The 20,566-nt window shown below is 36.9% G+C and overlaps 3 annotated features.

Annotated features, from left to right (window-relative positions):
- Positions 965-1,603: an enhancer, noted in NCBI's record as "OCT4-NANOG hESC enhancer chr11:48866441-48867079 (GRCh37/hg19 assembly coordinates)". NCBI's record gives its function as "activates a minimal SCP1, AML or CMV promoter by ChIP-STARR-seq in naive H9 embryonic stem cells {active_cell/tissue: H9 hESC(naive)}" and the evidence as "EXISTENCE:reporter gene assay evidence [ECO:0000049][PMID:30033119]".
- Positions 8,958-9,459: an enhancer, noted in NCBI's record as "NANOG hESC enhancer chr11:48858585-48859086 (GRCh37/hg19 assembly coordinates)". NCBI's record gives its function as "activates a minimal SCP1, AML or CMV promoter by ChIP-STARR-seq in naive H9 embryonic stem cells {active_cell/tissue: H9 hESC(naive)}" and the evidence as "EXISTENCE:reporter gene assay evidence [ECO:0000049][PMID:30033119]".
- Positions 18,096-18,636: an enhancer, noted in NCBI's record as "OCT4-NANOG hESC enhancer chr11:48849408-48849948 (GRCh37/hg19 assembly coordinates)". NCBI's record gives its function as "activates a minimal SCP1, AML or CMV promoter by ChIP-STARR-seq in primed H9 embryonic stem cells {active_cell/tissue: H9 hESC(primed)}" and the evidence as "EXISTENCE:reporter gene assay evidence [ECO:0000049][PMID:30033119]".

Genomic DNA, 20,566 nt, shown 5'->3' with positions numbered 1-20,566 from the left:
TCCTTTTCCACCATAGCCCTCAGAGCGCTTCAAATGTCCACTTGCATATTCTACAAAAAGGGTGTTTCAAAACTTCTCTATCAAAAGACAGGTTCAGCTCTGTTCGTTGAATGCACATATCAAAAAGAAGTTTCTGAGAAAGATTCATTCTAGTTTTTATGTGAAGATATCCCCGTTTCCAACGAAGGCCTCAGAGCAGCACAAATATCCACTTGCAGATTCCACAAAAAGAGTATTTCAAAACTGCTCTATCAAAAGAAAAGTTCAACTCTGTGTGTTCAATGCACACATCACCAAGAAGTTTCTAAGAATTCTTCTGTCTATTTTTTATGGGAAGATATTCCTCTTTCAACCGTAGGCCTCAAAGCCCTCCAAATATCTACTTGCAGATTTTACAAAAAGAGTGTTTCATAACTGTTCTATCAAAAGGAAGTTTCAACTCTGTGAGTTGAATACACACATCACAAAGAAGTTTCTAAGAATGCTTCTGTCTAGTTTTTATATGAAGTTATTCCCGTTTCCAACGAAGACCTCAAAGCAGACTAAATATCCACTTGCAGATTCTACAAAAAGAGTTTTTCAAAACCACTCTATCAAAAGGAAGTTTCAACTCTGTGAGTTGAATGCACACTTCATAAAGAAGTTTCTGAGAATGCTTCTGCCTGTTTTTTATGTGAAGATATCCCCGTTACCAACGAAGGCCTCAAAGCAATCCAAATATCCAGTTGCAGATTCTACAAAAAGAGTTTTTCAAAACTACTCTATCAAAAGGAAGTTTCAACTCTGTGAGTTGAATGCACACTTCATAAAGAAGTTTCTGAGAATGCTTCTGCCTGTTTTTTACACGAAGATATCCCCGTTACCAACGAAGGCCTCAAAGCAATCCAAATATCCAGTTGCAGATTCTACAAAAAGAGTGTTTCAAAACTGCTCTATCAAAAGACACGTTCAACTCTGTGAGTTGAATGCACGCATCACAAAGAAGTTTCTGAGAATGCTTCTGTCTAGTTTTTATGTGAACATATTTCCTTTTCCACCGAAGGTCTCAAAGCACTCCAAATGTCCACTTGCTGATTCTACAAAAAGATTGCTTCAAAACTGCTCTATCAAAAGGAAAGTTCAACTCTGTGAGTTGAATGCACACATCAAAAAGTAGTTTCTGACTATGCTACTGTCTAGTTTTTATATGAAGATATTTCCTTTTCTGCCATAGGCCTCTAAGCGCTCCAAATGTCCACTTGCAGATTCTACAAAAAGAGTGTTTCAAAACTGCTCTATCAAAAGGAAAGTTCAACTTTGTGAGTTAAATGGACACATCACAAAGAAGTTTCTGAGAATGCTTCTGTCTAGTTTATGTGAAGAAATTCCCGTTTCCAACGACGGCTTCAAAGCACTCCAAATATCCAATTGCAGATGCTACAAAAAGAATCTTTCAAAACTGCTCTATGAAAAAGAAGGTTCAACTCTCTGAGATGAATGCACACATCAAAAAGAAGTTTCTGAGAATGCTTCTGTCTAGTTTTTATGTGAAGATTTCCCTATTTCCAATGAAGGCCTCAAAGCGGTCCAAATATTCACTAGCGGATTCTACAAAAAGAGAGTTTCAAAACTGCTCTATGAAAAGGTATGTTCAAATCTGTGAGCTAAATGCAAACATCACAAAGGAGTTTCTGAGAATGCTTCTGTCTAGTTTTTTTTTGTGAAGACATTTTCTTTTCCACCAGTGCCCTTAAAGCGCTCCTAATCTCCACTTGCAGATTCAACAAAAAGAGTGTTTCAAAACTGCTCTATAAAAAGAAAGGTTCAAATCTGTGAGATGAATGCAAACATCACAAAGTAGTTTCTGAGAATGCTTCTCTCTAGTCCTTATATGAAGATATTTCCTTTTCTACCATAGGTCTCAAAGCTCTCCAAATATCCCCTTGCACATTCTACAAAAAGACTGTTTCAAAACCGCTCTATCAAAAGGAAGGTTCAACTCTGTGAGTTGAATGCACACATCACAAAGTAGTTTCTGAGAATGCTTCTATCTAATTTTTATGTGAAGATATTCCCGTTTGCAACTAAGGCTTCAAATCGCTCCGTATATCCACTTCCAGATTCTACAAAAAGAGTTTTTCAAAACTTATCTCTCAAAGGGAAGGTTCAACTCTCTGAGTTGAATGCACACATTACAAAGAAGTTTCTGAGAATGGTTCTGTCTAGATTTATGTGAAGATATTCCCGTTTCCACCATCGGCCTCAAAGTGATCCAAAAATCCACTTGCAGATTCTACAAAAAGAGTGTTTCAAAACTACTCTATCAAAAGGAAGGTTCAAATCAGTGAGTTTAATGCACACATCACAAAGAACTTCCTGAGAATGCTTCTGTCCCGTTTCTATGTGAAGATATTACCTTTTCCACCGAAGGGCTCAAAGCGCTAAAAATATCCAATTGCAGATTCTACAAATAGAGTGTTTCAAAATTGCTCTATCTTTCAAAAGAAAGGTGAAAATCTGTGAGTTGAACGAACACATCACAAAAAAGTTTCTGAGAATACTTCTGTCTAGTTTTTATGTGAAGAAATTCCGGTTTCAACCGTCAGACTCCAAGTGCTCCAACTGTACACTTGCAGATCATAGAAAAGAGTGTTTCAAAACTGCTCTATCAAAAGGAAGGTTCAACTCTGTGAGTTGAATGCACACATCACAAAGAAGTTTCTGAGAATGCTTCTCTCTACTTTTTATGTGAAGATATTCCCGTTTGCAACTAAGGCTTCAAATCGCTCTGTATATCCACTTCCAGATTCTACAAAAAGAGTCTTTCAAAGTGATCTCTCAAAGGGAAGGTTCAACTCTCTGAGTTGAATGCACACATTTCAAAGAAGTTTCTGAGAATGGTTCTGTCTAGATTAATGTGAAGATATTCCCGTTTCCACCATAGGCCTCAAAGCGATCCAAATATCCACTTGCAGATTCTACAAAAAGAGTGTTTCAAAACTACTCTATCAAAAAGAAGGTTCAAATCAGTGAGTTTAATGCACACATCACAAAGAACTTCCTGAGAATGCTTCTGTCCCCTTTCTATGTGAAGATATTACCTTTTCCAATGAAGGCCTCGAAGCACTCCAAATATCCACTTGCAGATTCTACAAAAAGAGTGTTTGAAAAGTGCTCTGTCAAAAGAAAGGTTCAGCTATGTGAGTTCAATGCACACATCACAAAGAAGTTTCTGAGAATGCTTCTCTCTACTTTTTATGTGAAGCTATTCCAGTTTCCAATGAAGGCCTCAAAGCAGTCCAAATGTCAATTGCAGATTCTCTAAAAAGAGTGTTTCAAAACTGCTCTATGAAAAGGTATGTTCAACTTCGTGAGTTGAATGCAAACATCACAAAGAAGTGTCTGAAAATGCTTCTGTCTACTTTTTAGGTGTAGATATTCCCGTTTCCAATGAAGGCCTCAAAGCAGTCCAAATATCCACTTGCAGATTTTACAAAAAGAGTGTTTCAAAACTGCTGTATTAAAAGAAAGGTTCAACTCTGTGAGTTGAATGCACACATCACAAAGAAGTTTCTGACAAAGCTTCTGTCTAGTTTTTATTTTAAGATATTCCCGTTTTCAATGAAGTCCTCAAAGCAGTCCCAATATCCACTTGAAGATTCTATGAAAAGAGTTTTCCAAAACTGCTCTATGAAAAGGTATGTTCAGCTCTGTGATTTGAATGCAATCGTCACAAAGAAGTTTCTGTGAGTGTTTCAAAACTGCTCTAACAAAAGAAAGGTTCAACTCTGTGAGTTGAATGCACACATCACAAAGAAGTTTCTGAGAATGCCTCTGAATAGTTTCTATATGAAGATATGCCCGTTTCAACCGTAGGCCAAAAAGCGGACCAAATGTCAACTGCAGACCCTACTAAATTAGTGTTTCAAAACTCTTCTATAAAAAGGAAGCTTCAACTCTGCGAACTGAATGCAAACATATCAAAGAAGTTCCTGAGAATGCTTCTGTCTAGTTTTCATGTGAAGATATTCCCGTTTTCAATGAAGGCCTCAAAGCAGCCCCAATATCCACTTGCAGATTCTACGAAAAGAGTGTTCCAAAACTGTTCTATGAAAAGGTCTGTTCAGCTCTGTGAGTTGAATGCAATCATCACAAAGAAGCTTATCTTATGTGAAGATATTTCCTTTTCCACCATAGCCCTTAAAGCACTCCAAATGTCCACTTGCAGATTCTACAAAAAGAGTGTTTCAAGACAGCTCTATCAAAACACAGGTTCACCTCTTGGAGTTGAATGCACATATCCCAAAGAAGATTCTGAGAGTGCTTCTATCTAGTTTTTATGTGAAGATATTTCCTTTTCCACCGAAGGCCTCAAAGCACTCCAAATTTCCACTTGCAGATTCCAGAAAAAGTGTTTCAAAACTGCTCTATCAAAAGACAGGCTGAACTCTGTGAACTGAATTCACATATCACAAAGAAGTTTCTAAGAATGCTTCTATCTAGTTTTAATGTGAAGATATTTCCTTTACCACTGAAGGCCTCAAATCGCTCCAAATATCCACTTGCAGATTCTACAAAAAGAGTGTTTCAAAGCGGCTCTGTCAAAAGAAAGGTTCAAATCTGTGAGTTGAATGCACACATCACAAAGACGTTTCTCAGTATGCTTCTGTCTAGTTTTTATGTGAAGATATTCCCGTTTCAACCGTAGGCCTTAAAGCTCTTCAAATATCCACTTGCAGATTCTACAAAAAGAGTGTTTCAAAACTGCTCTATCAAAAGGAAGGTTCAACTCTGTGTGTTGAATGCACATGTCACAAAGAAGTTTCTGAGAATACTTCTGTCTAGTTTTTATGTGAAGATATTCCCGTTTCAAAGGAAGGCCCCAAAGTGGTGCAAATATCCACTTGCAGATTCTACAAAAAGAGCGTTTCAGAACTGCTCTATGAAAAAGTATCTTCAAATCTGTGAGTTGAATGCAATCGTCCCAAAGAAGTTTCTGAGGATGCTTCTGTCTCATTTTTATGTGAAAATACTTGCTTTTCCACCATAGTCCTCAAAGCGCTCCAAATATCCCCTTGCAGATTCTACAAAAAGAGAGTTTCAAAACTGCTCTATCAAAAGACAGGTTCAACTCTGTGAGTTGAATCCATACATCACAAAGAACTTTCTGAGAATGATTCTGTCTACTTTATATGTGAAGATATTCCCGTTTCCACCGTAGGCTTCAAAGCGCAAAAAATGTACACTTGCACATTCTAAAAAAAGAGTGTTTCAAAACTGCTCTATCAAAAAGAATGTGAACTCTGTGAGTTGAATGCACACATCACAAAGAAGTTTCTGATAATGCTTCTGTCTAGTTTTTATGTGAAGATATTTCCTTTCCCACGGTAGGCCTCAAAGCGTTCCAAATACCCACTTGCAGATTCTACGAATAGAGTGTTTGAAAACTACTCCATCAAAAGGAAGGTTCACCTCTGTGAGTTTAATGCACACATCACAAGTTAGTCCCTGAGAATGCTTCTATCTATTTTTTATACAAAGATATTTGCTTTTCTACCATAGGCCTCAAAGTGCTCCAAATATCCTCTTGCAGATTCCACAAAAAGAGTGTTTCCAAACTGCCCTATTAAAAGAAACGTTCAACACTGTGAGTTGAATGCACACATCACAAAGAAGTTTTTGAGAATGCTTCTGTCTGGTTTTCATATGAAGATATATCCTTTACCAGCATTGGCCTTAAAGGGCTCCAAATATACACTTGCAGAATCTAGAAAAAGGGTGTTTCAAAACTGTTCTATCAAACGAAAGGTTCAACTCTGAGTTGAATGCACACATCACAAAGAAGTTTGTTAGAATGTTTCTGTCTGGTTTTTATGTGAAGATACTTCCTTTTCCACCATAGGCTACAAAGCGCTCCAAATATCCACTTGCAGATCCTACAAAAAGAGTGTTTCAAAACTTCCATATCAATATAAAGGTTCAACTCTGTGAGTTGAATGCACACATCACAAAGTAGTTTCTAAGAATGCTTCTGTCTAGTTTTTTGTGAACATAATCCCATTCCCAATGAAGGCCTCAAAGCAGTCCAAACATTGACTTGCAGATTCTACAAAAAGAGTGTTTCAAAACTGCTCTGTCAAAAGGAAGGTTCAACTCTGTGAGTTGAATGCACACATCACAAAGTAGTTTCTGAGAAATCTTCTGTCTAGTTTTTATATGAAGATATTTCCATTTCTACCATAGGCCTCAAAGCGCTGTAAATATCCACTGGCAGATTCTACAAAAAGAGTGTTTCAAAACTGCTGTTACAAAAGGAAAATTCAGCTCTGTGAGTTGAAAGCACACTACACAAGAAGTTTCTGAGAATGCTTCTGCTTAGTTTATATGTGAAGATATTCCCGTTTCCCCTGAAGGCCTCAAAGCGCTCCAAAATCCACTTGCAGATTTTACAAAAAGAGTGTTTCAAAACTGCTCTATCAGAAGGAAGGTTCAAATCTGTGAGTTGAATGCACACATCACAAAGCAGTTTCTGAGAATACTTCTGTCTAGTTTTTATGTGAAGATATTTCCTTTTCCACCAGAGGACTCAAAGCGCTCCAAATATCCACTTGCAGATTCTCCAAAAAGAGTGTTTCAAAACTGCTCTATCAAAAGAAATGTTCAACTCTGTGAGTTGAATGCAGACATCACAAAGAAGTTACAGAAAATTCTTCTTTCTAGTTTTTTGTGAAGATATTCCCATTTCCAACGAAGACTTCAAAGTGCTCCGAATGTCCACTTACAGATTCTACAAAAAGAGTGTTTAAAACTACTTTATCAAAAGAAAGTTTAAACTCTGTAATTTGAATGCACACATCAAAAAGAAGTTTCTGAGAATGCTTCTGTCTAATTTTTACATGAAGATATTTCCTTTTCCACCATTGGCCTCAAATCGCTCCAAATGTCCACTTGCAGATTCTACAAAAAGAGTGTTTCAAAACTGCTCTGTCAAAAGGAAGGTTCATCCCTTTGTATTGAAAGCATACATCACAAAGAAGTTTCCTAGAATACTTCTGTCTAGTTTTTTTATGAAAGATATTCCCGTTTCCACTGTAGGCCACAAAGCACTCAAAATGTCCCCTTGCAGATTCTACAAAAAGAGGGTTTCAAAACTGCTCTATCAAAAGGAAAGTTCAACTCTGTGAGTTGAATACACACATCACAGAGAAATTTCTGAGAATGCTTCTGTCTAATTTTTATATGAAGATATTTCCTTACCTACCATAGGCCACAAAATCTACCTGCAGATTCTTCAAGAAGAGTGTTTCAAACCTGCTCTATCAAAAGAAAGGTTCAACTCTGTCAGTTGAATGAACACGTCACAAAGAAGTTTCTGAGAATGGTTCTGTCTAGTTTATATGTGAAGATGTTCCCATTTCCCCTATAGGCCACACAGCACTCAAATATCCACTTGCAGATTCTACAAAAAGAGTGTTGCTAAACTGATCTATCAAAAGGAAGGTTCAACTCTGTGAGTTGAATGCACACATCACAAAGAAGTTTCCAAGAATGCTTCTGTCTAGTTTTTAAGTGAAGATATTTCCTTTTCCACCATAGGCCTCCATGCGCTCCAAATATCCACTTGCAGGTTCTACAAAGAGAGTGTCTCAAAAGTGCTCAATTAAAAGGAATGTTCAACTCTGTGAGTTGAATGCAAACATCACAAAGTCTTTTCTGAGAATGCTTCTGTCTAGTTTTGATATGAAGATATTTCCTTTTCAAACTTGGGCCTCAAAGTGATCCAAATATCCACTTGCAGTTTCTACAAAAAGAGTGCTTCAAAAGTACTCTGTCAAAAGGATGCTTCAACTCTCTGAGTTGAATTCACACATCACAAAGTTGCGTCTGAGAACGCTTTTGTCTAGTTTTTCTGTGAAGATATTCCCGTTTCCACTGTAGATCTCAAAGTGGTCCAAATATCCGATTGCAGATTCTACAAATAAGAATTTCAAAACTGCTCTATGAAAAGGAAGTTCAACTCTTTTAGTTGAATGCACACATCACAAGGAAGTTTCTGAGAATCCTTTTGACTAGTTTTTATGTGAAGGTGTTCCCGTTTCCACCGAAGGCCTCAAAGTGCTCCAAATATACATTTGCAGATTCTACAAAAAGAGTGTTTCAAAACTGCACTGTCTAAAGCAATGTTTAACTCTGTGAGTTGAATGCACACATCTCGAACTAGTTTCTGAGAATGCTTCTATTTAGCTTTTATGTGAAGATATTTCCTCTTCCACCATTGGCCTCAAAGTGAGCCAAGTGTCTACTTGCACATTCTACAAAAAGAGTGTTTCAAAACTGCTCTATCAAAAGAAAGGATCACTTCTGTGAGTTGAATGCACACATCACAAAGTAGTTTCTGAGAATTCTTCTGTCTAGTTTTTATATAAAGATACTTTCTTTTCTACCATGGTCCTCAAAGCGCACCAAATATCCACTTGCAGATTCCACAGAAAGAGTGTTTCAAAACTGCTCTACCAAGAGGAAGGTTCAACTCTCTGAGTTGAATGCACACATAACGAAGAAGTTTCTGAGAATGCTTCTGTCTAGTTTTTATGTGAAGACATACCGTTTCCACTGCAGGCCTCAAAGCGTTTCAAACATCCACTTGCAGATTCTACAAAAAGAGTGTTTCAAAACTGCTCTGTCAAAAGGAAGGTTCTACTCTGTGTCTTGAATGCACACATCACAATGTAGTTTCTGATAATGTTTCTGTCTAGTTTTTATATGAGGATACTTCCTTTTCTACCATAGTCCTCAAAGTGCTCCAAATATCCACTTGCAGATTCCACAAAAAGAATTTTTCAAATCTGCTCTACCAAAAGGAAGTTTTACCACTCTGAGTTGAATGCACACATCATAAAAAAGTTTCTGAGAATGCCTCTGTCTAGTTTTTATGTAAAGATATTCCTGTTTCCACCATAGGCCTCAAAGCGCTCCAAATATCCACTTGCCGATTCTACAAAAGACTGTTCCAAAACTGCTCTACCAAAAGGAATGTTCAACTCTCTGAGTTGAATGCACACATCACAAAGAAGTTTCTGAGAAGGCTTCTGTCTAGTTTTTATGTGAAGAAGTGCTGTTTCCACTGTAGGCCTCAAAGCGCTCCAAACATCCTCTTGCAGATTATACAAAAAGAGTGTTTCAAAACTGCTCTATCAAAAGAAAGGTTCAACTCTGTGTGTTGAATGCACACATCACAAAGTAGTTTCTGAGAATGCTGCTGTCTAGTTTTTATATGAAGATACTTCCTTTTCTACCATAGTCTTCAAAGTGCTCCAAATATCTACTTGCAGATTCTACAAAAAGAATGTTTCAAAACTGCTCTACAAAAAGGAAGGTTCAACTCTCTGAGTTGAATGCACACATCACAAAGAAGTCTCTGAGAAAACTTCTGGCTAGTTTTTATGTGAAGATGTTCCCGTTCCACTGAAGGCCTCAAAGAGCTCCAAATATCCACTTGAAGATTCTGCAAAAAGAGTTTTTCAAAACTGCTCTATCAAAAGGAACGTTCAACTATGTGAGTTGAATGGAAGCATCACAAAGAAGTTTCTGAGAATGCTTCTGCCTAGTTTTTATGTGAAGATATTTCCTTTTCCCCCCTAGGCCTCAGAGCGCTCCAAATATCGACTTGCAGATTTTACAAAAAAAGTGTTTCAAATCTGATCTATCAAAAGGAAAGTTCAACTCTGTGAGTTGAATTCACACATCTCCAAGATGTTTCTGAGAATGGCTCTGTCTCTTTTTTATGTGAAGGTATTTCCTTTTCCACAGTAGGCATCAAAGCACTCCAAATATCCACTTGCAGATTCTCCAAAAAAGTGCTTCAAAACCATTCAAACAAAAGAAAGGTTCAACTCTGTGATTTGAATGCGCACATCACAAAGAGGTTTCTGAGAATGCTTCTGCTAGTTTTTATGTGAAGATATGTCCTTTTCCACCATAGGCCTCAAAGCTCTACAAATATCCACTTGCTGATTCTACAAAAAGAGTGTTTCAAAACTGCTCTATCAAAAGAAAGGCTCAACTCTGTGATTTGAATGCGCACATCACAAAGAAGTTTCTCAGAATTTTTCTGTCTAGTTTTTATTTGAAGATATTTACTTTTCCACCGTAGGCCTCAAACTGCTCCCAATAACCACTTGCAGATCCTACAAAAGGAGTGTTTCAAAACGTCTCTATCTGAAGGAAGGTTCAAATCTGTGATTTTAATGCACACATCACAAAGAAGTTTCTGAGAATGCTTCTGTCTAGTCTTTATGTGAAGATATTTACTTTTCCACTCTAGTCCTCAAAGCCCTCCAAATATCCACTTGCAGATACTACAAAAAGAGGGTTTCAAAACTGCTCTGCCAAAGCAAGGGTTCAACTCTGTGAGTTTAATGCACAAATCGCAAAGAAGTTTCTGAGAATGCATCTGTCCAGTTTTTCTGTGAAGATATTTCCTTTTCCATCGTAGGCCTCAAAGCATTCCAAATATCCAGTTGCACATTCTGCAAAGAGAGTGTTTCAAAACTGCTCTGTCAAGAGGAATGTTCAAACCTGTGAGTTGATTGCACACATCACAAAGAAGTTTGTTATATTGCTTCTGTCTAGTTTCTATGTGAAGATATTCCCTTTTCCACCGTAGGCCTCAAAACGCTTCACATATCTCTGAGAATGCTTCTGTCTAGTTTTTATGTGAAGATATTTCCTTTTCCACCATAAGCCTCAAAGCGCTCCAAATATCCACTTGCAGATTCTACATAAAGGGTGTTTCAAAACTGATCTAACAATAGAAAGGTTCAACTCTGTGAGTTGAACGTACACATCATAAAGTAGTTTCTGAGAATGCTTCTGTCTAGTTTTTATGAGAACATATTTCCTTTTCCACCATAGGTCTCAAATTGTTCCAAATATCTACTTACACATTCTGCAAAAGGAGTGTATAAAAACTGCTCTATCAAAAGGAATGTGAACTCTGTGAGTTGAATGCACACATCACAAAGAAGTTTCTGATAATGCTTCTGTCTAGTTTTTATGTGGAGATGTTTCCTTTTCCACCATAGGCCGCAAAGCATTCCAAACATCCCCTTTCAGATTCTACTAAAAGAGTGTTTCAAAACTGCTCTGTCAAAAGGAAGGTTCAACTCTGTCAGTTGAATGCACACATCACATAGTAGTTTCTAAGAATGATTCTGTCTAGTTTTTATGTGAAGATATTTCCTTTTCCACCATAGGTCTCAAAGCGTTCCAAATATCCACTTGCACATTTTACAAAAAGAGTGTTTCAAAACTGCTCTATCAAAAGGAAGGTTCAAACGTGTGAGTTGATTGCAACCATTACAAGATGTTTCAGAGATTGCTACTGTGTAGTTTCTATGTGAACATATTTCCTTTTCCACCGTAGGCCTCAAAGTGCTCCAAATATCTCTGAGAATGCTTCTGTCTAGTTCTTATGTGAAGATATTTCCTTTTCCACCGTAGCCCTCAAATTCCTCCAAATATGCACTTGCTAATTCTACAAAAAGGGTGTTTCAAAACTGCTCTATCAAAAGAAAGGTTCAACTGTGTGAGTTGAATCCACACACCCAAAAGGAGTTTCTGACAATGCTTCTGTCAAGTTTATGTGTGAAGATATTTCTTTTCCACCGTAGGCCTCAAAGCTCTCCAAATATCTCTGAGAATGCTTCTGTCTAATTTTTCTGTGAAGATATTTCCTTTTCCACCGTTGGCCTCAAAGCGCTCCAATTATCCACTTGCAGATGCTACAAAAAGTGTGTTTCAAAACTGCTCTGTCAAAAGAAAGGTTCAACTCTGTGAGTTGAATGGACACATCACAAGAAAGTGTCTGAGAATGCTTCTGTCTTGTTTTTATGTGAAGATATACCCTATTCCACCACAGGACTCAAAGTTTCCAAATATCCACTTGCAGATTCTACAAAAAGAGTGTTTCAAAACTGCTCTATCAAAAGGAAGGCTCAACCCTCTGAGTTGAATGCACACATAACAAAGAAGTTTCTGAGAATGCTTCTGTCTAGTTTTTCGGTGAAGATATTTCCTTTTCTATCATAGCCCTTAAAGCTCTCCAAATATCCAGTTGCAGATTCTACAAAAATAGTGTTTCAAAACTGCGATATCATAAGGAATGTTCAACTCTGAGAGTTCAATGCACATATCACAAAGAAGTTTATGAGAGTGCTTCTGTCTAGTTTTCATCTGAAGATATTTCCTTTCCCACCGTGGGCCTCAAAGCCTTCCAAATATCCACTTGTGGATTCTACAAAATGAGTGTTTCAAAACTGCTCTATCAAAAGGAAGGTTCAACCCTGTGAGTTGAAATCACACATTTCAAAGATGTTTCTGAGAATGCTTCTGTCTAGTTTATATGTGAAGATATTTCCTTTCCATCATTGGTCTGAAAGCGCTCCAAATATCTCTGAGAATGCTTCTGTCTAGTTTTTCTGTGAAGATATTTCCTTTTCCACCCTAGGCCTCAAAGCCCTCCAAATATCCGCTTGCAGATTCCACAGAAAGAGAGTTTCAAAGCTGCTGTATCAAAACAAAGATTCAACTCTGTGAGTTGAATGGACACATCACAAGGAAGTTTCTGAGAATGCTTCTCTCTAGTTTTTATGTGAAGATATATCCTTTTCCAGCATAGGACTAAAAGCATTCCAAATATCCACTTGCAGATTCTACAAAAAGAGTGTTTCTAAACTGCCCTATCAAAAGAAAGTTCAACTCTGAGAGTTGAATGCACACATCCAAAACATGTTTCTGGCAATGCTTCTGTCAAGTTTATGAGTGAAGATATTTCCTTTTCCACCGTAGGCCTCAAAGCGGTCCAAATATCTCTGAGAATGCTTCTGTCTAGTTTTTTTGTGAAGATATTTCCTTTTCCACCATAGGCATCAAAGCGCTCCAAATATCCACTTGCAGATTCTACAAAAGGAGTGTTTCAAAACTGCTCTCTCAAAAGAAAGGGTCAACTCTGTGAGTTTAATGCACCCATCACAAAGTAGTCTCTGAGAATGCTTCTGTCTAGTTTTGATGTGAAGATATCTCGTTTTTCACCATAGGCCTCAAAGCTCTCCAAATACCCACCTGCAGATTCTCCAAAAATAGTATTTCAAAACTGCTCTATCAAAAGGAAGGTTCCACTCTGTGAGTTGAATGCAGACATCACAAAGTAGTTTCTGAGAATGCTTCCATCTAGTTTTTATGTGAAGATAATTCCTTTTCCACCATAGGCCTCAAAGCACTCAAAATATCTCTAAGAATGCTTCAGTCTAGTTTTTATTTGAAGATATTTCCTTTTCCACCACAGGTCTCAAAGCATTCCAAATAACCACTTGCAGATTCTCCAAAAACGGTGTTTCAAAACTTCTCTATCAAAAGGAAGGTTCAACTCTTTGAGTTGAATGCACACATCACAAAGTTGTTTCTGAGAATGCTTCTGTCTAGTTTTTATGTGAAGAAATTTCTTTTTACACCGTAGGCCTCAAAGCACTCTAGATATCCACTTGCAGATTTTACAAAAAGAGTGTTTCAAAACTCCTCTATCAAAAGAAATGTTCAACTCTGTGAATTGAATGCACGTATCACAAATAATTTTCTGAGAAAGTTTCCGTGTAGTTTTTATGTGAAGATACTTCCTTTTCCACCATAGGCCTCAAAACATTTCAAATATCCACTTGCAGATTCCACAAAAAAAGTGTTTGAAAGCTGCTCTATCAAAACGTAGTTTCAACTCTGTGAGTTGAATGCACCCATCCAAAGAAGTTTCTGAGAATGCTTCTGTGTAGTTTTTATGTGAAGATATTTCCTTTTCCACCACAGGCCTCAAAGCACTCCAAATATCCCCTTGCAGATTCTACAAAAACAGTGTTTCAAAACTGCTCTATCATAGAAAAGGTTCAACTCTGTATGTTGAATGCACACATCACAAAGAAGTTTCTAGGAATTCTTCTGTCTAGTTTTTATGTGAAGTTATTTCCTTTTCCACCATAGGCCTCAAAGCGTTCCAAATATCCACTTGCATCCTACAGAAAGAGTGTTTCAAAACTCCTCTATCAAAAGGGAGGTTCAACTCTGTGAATTGAAAGCACACATCACAAAGAAGTCTCTGAGAATGCTTCTGTCTACTTTTTATGTGAAGATATTTCCTTTTCCATGGTAGGCCTCAAAGCGCTCCAAATATCCACTTGCAGATTCCACAAAAAGATTGTTTCAAAACTTCTCAATCAAGAGAAAGTTTCAACCTTGTGATATGAATCCACACATCACAAAGAAGTTTCTCAGAAAGATTCTGTCTAGTTTTTATGTGAAGATGTTTCCTTTACAACTTTGGGCCTCAGAGCGCTACAAATATCCACTTGCAGTTGCTACAAAAACAGTGTTTCCAAACTGCTCGATGAAAATAAAAGTTCAACTCTGAGAGTTGAATGCACACATCACAAAGAAGTTTCTACGAATGCTTCTGTCTAGTTTTTATGTGAAAATATTTCCTTTTCCACCATAGGCCTCAAAGCCTTTCAAACATCCACTTGCAGATTCTACAAAGAGTGTTTCAAAACTGTTTAATCCAAAGTAATGTTCAACTCTCTGAGATGAAGACACACATTACAAAGTAGTTTCTCTGAACGCTTCTATTTTTTATGTAAAGATATTTCCTTTTCAGCTATAGACCTCAAAGCCCAACAAATATCCATTTGCAGTTACTACAAATAGAATGTTTCCAAACTGTTCAATCAAAGGAAAGGTTCAATTCTGAGAGTTGAATGCACACATCATAAAGATGTTTCTAAGAATGCTTCCATCTAGTTTTTATGTGAAGATATTTCCTTTCCAACAATACGAATCAAAGCACTCCAAATATCCACTTGCAGATTCTACAAACACAATGTTTCAAAGCTGTTCAATCAAAAGAAAGGTTCAAATTTGTGAGATGAATCCACACATCACAAAGAAGTTTCTCAGAACTCTCCTGTCTAGTTTTTATATGAAGCGATTTCCTTTTCAGCTACAGTCCTCAAAGCACCCTAAATATCCATTTGCAGTTTCTAGAAAAGTAGTGTTTCCAAGCTGCTCAATCAAAAGAATGGTTCAACTATGAGAGTTGAATGCACACATAAAAAATAAAATTCTGAGAATGCTTTTCTCTAGTTTCTATGTGAAGATATTTTCTTTTCTACCATAGGCCTCAAAGCACTACAAATCTCTTCTTGCAGGTTCTACAAAACGAGTGTTTCAAAACTGCTCAATCAATAGAAAGGCTCAAATGTATGAGATGAATGCGCACATCACAAAGTAGTTTCTCAGAATGCTTCTGTCTAATTTTTATGTGAAGATATTTCCTTTTCCACAGTAGGCATCAAAGCACTCCAAATATCCACTTGCAGATTCTACAGAAAGAGTGTTTCCAAAATGCTCACTCAAAAGAAATGTTCAACTCTGTGAGTTGAATGCACACATCACAAAGAGGCTTCTAAGAATGCTTTTGTCTAGTTTTTATGTGAAGATATTTCCTTTTCCACCATAGGCCTCAAAGCGCTCCAAATATCAACTTGCAGATCCTACAAAAAGAGTGTTTCAAAACTTCTCTGTTAAAAGAAGGGTTCAACTCTGTGAGTTGAATGCACACATCACAAAGAAGTTTCTCAGAATGCTTCTGTCTAGTTTTTATTTGAGGATATTTCCTTTTCAGCTATTGGTCACAAAGCGCCCCAAATATCCATTTGCAGTTACTACAAAAGAATGTTTCCAAACTGTTCAATCAAAAGAACAGTTCAACAATGAGAGATGAATGCACACATCACAAAGACGTTTCTGAGAATACTTCTTTCTAGTTTCTATGTGAAGATATTTCCTTTTCCACCACAGGCCTCAAAGTGCACCAAGTAAATAATTGAAGATTGTTTCAAAACTTCTCAATCAAAACAATTGTTTATCTCTGTGAGATGAATACACACATAACAGAGTTTCTCAGAATACTTCTGTGTAGTTTTTATATGAAGATATTTCCTTTTCAGATATAGGTCTCAATGCACTGCATATATCCAATTGCAGTTACTACAAAAAGAGTGTTTCCAAACTGCTCAATCAAAAGAATGGTTCCACTCCAAGATTTCAATGCACACATTACAAAGAAGTTTCTGAGAATGCTTCAGTCTAGCTTTTATGTGAAGATATTTCCTTTTCAGCTATAGGATTCAAAGCACTCCAAATATCCATTTGCAGTTAATATAAAAAGAGTGTTTCCAAACTGCTCTATCAAAGGAAAGTTTCAATTCTGTGAGTTGAATGCACACATCACAAAGAAGTTTCTGAGAATGCTTCTGTCTAGTTTTTCTTTGAAGATAATTCCCTTTCCACCATAGGCCTCAAAGCGCTCCAAATATCCATTGCAGATTCTACATCAAGAGTGTTTTAAAACTTCTCATTGAAAAGAAAGGTTCAACTCTGTGAGTTGAAGGCACACGTCAAAAAGCAGTTTCTCAGAATGATTCTGTCCAGTTTTTAATGTGAAGTTATTTCCTTTTCAGCTATAAGCCTCAAAGCGATCCAAATATCCTTTTGTAGTTATTACAAAAAGATTGTTTTCAAACTGCTCAATCAAAAGAAAGTCACAAATCTGAGGGTTATAAGCACACATCACAAAGTAGTTTCTGAGAATGCTTCTGCCTAGTTTTTATGTGAAGATATTTCCTTTTCCACCATAGGCCTTAATGCACTCCAAGCATCCACTTGCAGATTCTTCAAAAAGAGTTTTTCAAAGCTGCTCAATCAAAAGAAAGGTTCAAATCTGTGACATGATTCCACACACCAAAAAGAAGTTTCTCAGAATGTTTCTGTGTAGTTTTTATGTGAAGACATTTGCTTTTCAGCTATAGGCCTCAAAGCACTCCAAATATCCATTTGCATTTACTACAAAAAGAGTGTTTCCAAACTGCTCAACCAAAAGAATGGTTCCACTCCGAGATTTGAATGCACACATCACAAGGAAGTTTCTGAGAATGCTTCTGTCTAGTTTTTATGTGAAGATATTTCCTTTTCAGCTATAGGATTTAAAGTGCTCCAAATATCCATTTGCAGTTACTATAAAAAGAGTGTTTCCAAACAGCTCAATCAAAAGAAAGGTTCAATTCTGTGAGTTGAATGCACACATCACAAAGAAGTTTCTGAGAATGCTTCTGTCTAGTTTTTCTTTGAAGATATTTCCCTTTCCACCATAGGCCTCAAAGCGCTCCAAATATCCATTGCAGATTCTACAACAAGAGTGTGTCAAAACTTCTCATTGAAAAGAAAGGTTCAACTCTGTGAGATGAATGCACACATCACAAAGAAGTTTGTCAGAATTCTCCTGTGTAGTTTTTATGAAGATATTTCCTTTTCAGCTATAGGCCTCAAAATGCTCTAAATATCCATTTGCTGTTATTACAAAAAGATTGTTTCCAAACTGCTCAATAAAAAGAAAGGTTCAAGACTGAGAGCTAAATGCACACATCACAAAGAAGTTTCTGACAATGATTTTGTCTAGTTTTTATGTGAAGATATTTCCTTTTCCACCATAGGCCGCAAAGCGCTCCAAATATCCATTGCAGATTCTACAACAAGAGTGTGTCAAAACTTCTCATTGAAAAGAAAGGTTCAACTCTGTGAGATGAATGCACACATCACAAAGAAGTTTGTCAGAATTCTCCTGTGTAGTTTTTATGAAGATATTTCCTTTTCAGCTATAGGCCTCAAAATGCTCTAAATATACATTTGCTGTTATTACAAAAAGATTGTTTCCAAACTGCTCAATAAAAAGAAAGGTTCAAGACTGAGAGCTGAATACACACATCACAAAGAAGTTTCTGACAATGATTTTGTCTAGTTTTTATGTGAAGATATTTCCTTTTCCACCATAGGCCTCAAAGCACTCCAAATATCCACTTGCATACTATACAAAAAGAGTGTTTCAAAACTGCTCAATCAAAAGAAAGGTGCAACACTGTGAGATGAATCCACACATTACAAGGAAGTTTCTCAGAATGCTTCTGTCTAGTATTTATGTGAAGGTATTTCCTTTTCACCTATAGGCCTCCAGGTCATCCAAATATGCATTTGCAATTACTACAAAAAGGTATTTCAAAACTGCTCAATCAAAAGTAAGGTTCAACTCTGAGAGTTGTATGGACACATCACAAAGTAGTTTCTGAGAATGCTTCTGTCTATTTTCAATGTGAAGATATTTCCTTTTCCACCACAGGCCTCAAAGCACTCCAAATATACACTTGCAAATTCTACAAAAAGAGTGTTTCAAAACAGCTCAATCAAAAGAAAGTTTCAACACTTTGAGACGAATGCGCACATGCAAAGAATTTTCTGACAATACTTCTGTCTAGTTTTTATGTGAAGATATTTCCTTTTCCACCATAGTCCTCAAAGCACTCCAAATATCCACTTGCAGATTCTACAAAAAGAGTGTTTCAAAACTTGTCAATCAAAATAAAGGTTCAACTCTGTGAGATGAATGCACACATCACAAAGAAGTTTCTCAGAATGCTTCTGTCTAGTTATTATATGAAGATATTTTCTCTCAGCTATTAGTCTCAAAGCACTCCCAATATCCATTTGCATTTACTACAAAAGGAGTGTTTCCAAACTGTTCAATCAAAAGAAAGTTTCAATTCCGTGAGTTGAATGCACTCATCACAAAGAAGTTTCTGAGAATGCTTCTGTCTAGTTTCTATGGGAAGATATTTCTTTTTCCACCATAGACCTCAAAGCACTCCAAATATCCACTTGCAGATTCTACAAAAAGAGTGTTTCAAAACTGTTCAATCAAAAGAAAGGTCCAACTCTGAGAGACGAATGCACACATCACAAAGAAGTTTCTCAGAATTCTTCTGTCTAGCTTTTATGTGAAGACATTTCCTTTTCCACCATAGGACTCAAAGCGCTGGAAATATCCACATGCAGAATCCACAAAAAGAGTGTTTCCAAACTGCTCAATCAAAAGAAAGTTTCAACTTCGTGAGATGAATGCACACGTCCCAAAGCAGTTTCTCAGAATGCTTCTGTCCAGTTTTTATGTGAAGATATTCCCTTTTCAGCTATAGGCCTCAAAGCGATCCAAATATCCTTTGCAGTTATTAAAAAAAAGATTGTTTTCAAACTGCTCAATCAAAAGAAAGGTACAAATCTGAGGGTTGTATGCACACATCACACAGTAGTTTCTGAGAATGCTTCTGCCTAGTTTTTATGTGAAGATATTTCCTTTTCCACCATAGGCGTTAATGCACTCCAAGTATCCACTTGCAGATTCTACAAAAGAGTTTTTCAAAGCTGCTCAATCAGAAGAAAGGTTTAAATCTGTGACATGATTCCATACATCAAAAAGAAGTTTCTCAGAATGTTTCTGCGTAGTTTTTATGTGAAGACATTTCCTTTTCAGCTATAGGCCTCAAAGCGCTCCAAATATCCATTTGCAGTTACTACAAAAAGAGTGTTTTCAAACTGCTCAATCAAAACAAAAGTTCAACTATGAGAGGTGAATTCACACATCACAGAAACGTTTCTGAGAATGCTTCTGTCTTGTTTCTGTGTGAAGATATTTCCTTTTCCATCATAGGCCTCAAAGCTCTCCAAATCTCCACTTGCAGATTCTACAAAAAGTGTGTTTCCAAACTGTTCCATCAAAAAAAAGTTCAATCTGTGAGATGAATGTGCACATCACAAAGATGTTTCTCAGAATGCTTCTGTCTAGTTCTTACCTGAAGATATTTCCTTTTCAGCTACAGGTTTCAAAGCTCTCCAAATATCCACTGGCAATTACTACAAAAAGAGTGTTTCCAAACTGCTCAATCAAAAGAAAAGCTCAACTCTGACTGTTGAATGCACACAACACAAAGAAGTTTCAGAGAGTGCTTCTGTCTAGTTTTTATGTGAAGATATATCCTTTTCCAACATAGGCCTCAAAGCGCTCAAAATATCCACTTGCAGATTCTACAAAAAGAGTGTTTCAAAACTCCTCAATCAAAAGAAAGTTTCACCTCTGTGAGATGAATGTGCACATCAAAAAGAAGTTTCTCAGAATGCTTCTATCTAGTATTTGTGTGAAGATATTTCATTTCACACCTTAGGCCTCATAGAGCTCCAAATATCCACTTGCAGATTCTATTAAAAGAGTGTTTCCAAACTGCTCAATCAAAAGAAAGGTTCAATTTTGTGAGTTGAATGCACACGTCACAAAGAAGTTTCTCTGAATGCTTCTGTCTAGTTTTTATGTGAAGATATTTCCTTTTCAACTACAGGCTTCAAAGTGTTCCAAATATCCTTTTGCAGTTATTTCAAGAAGAGTGTTTCCATACTGTGCAATCAAAAGAAAAGTACAACTCTGAGTGTTGAATGCACACATCACAAAGAAGTTTCTGACAATGCTTCTGTCTAGTTTTTATGTGAAGATATTTAATTTTCAGCTATAGGTCTCAAAGCACTCCACATATCCAGTTGCAGATTCTACAAAAAGAGGGTTTCAAAACTGCTCAAATAAAAGAAAGTTTCAACTCTGTGAGATGAATGC

Source organism: Homo sapiens, chromosome 11 (genome assembly GCF_000001405.40).
Source record: "Homo sapiens chromosome 11, GRCh38.p14 Primary Assembly".
Lineage (NCBI taxonomy): Eukaryota > Metazoa > Chordata > Mammalia > Primates > Hominidae > Homo > Homo sapiens.
This window is presented reverse-complemented; position numbering and strand designations above follow the sequence as displayed.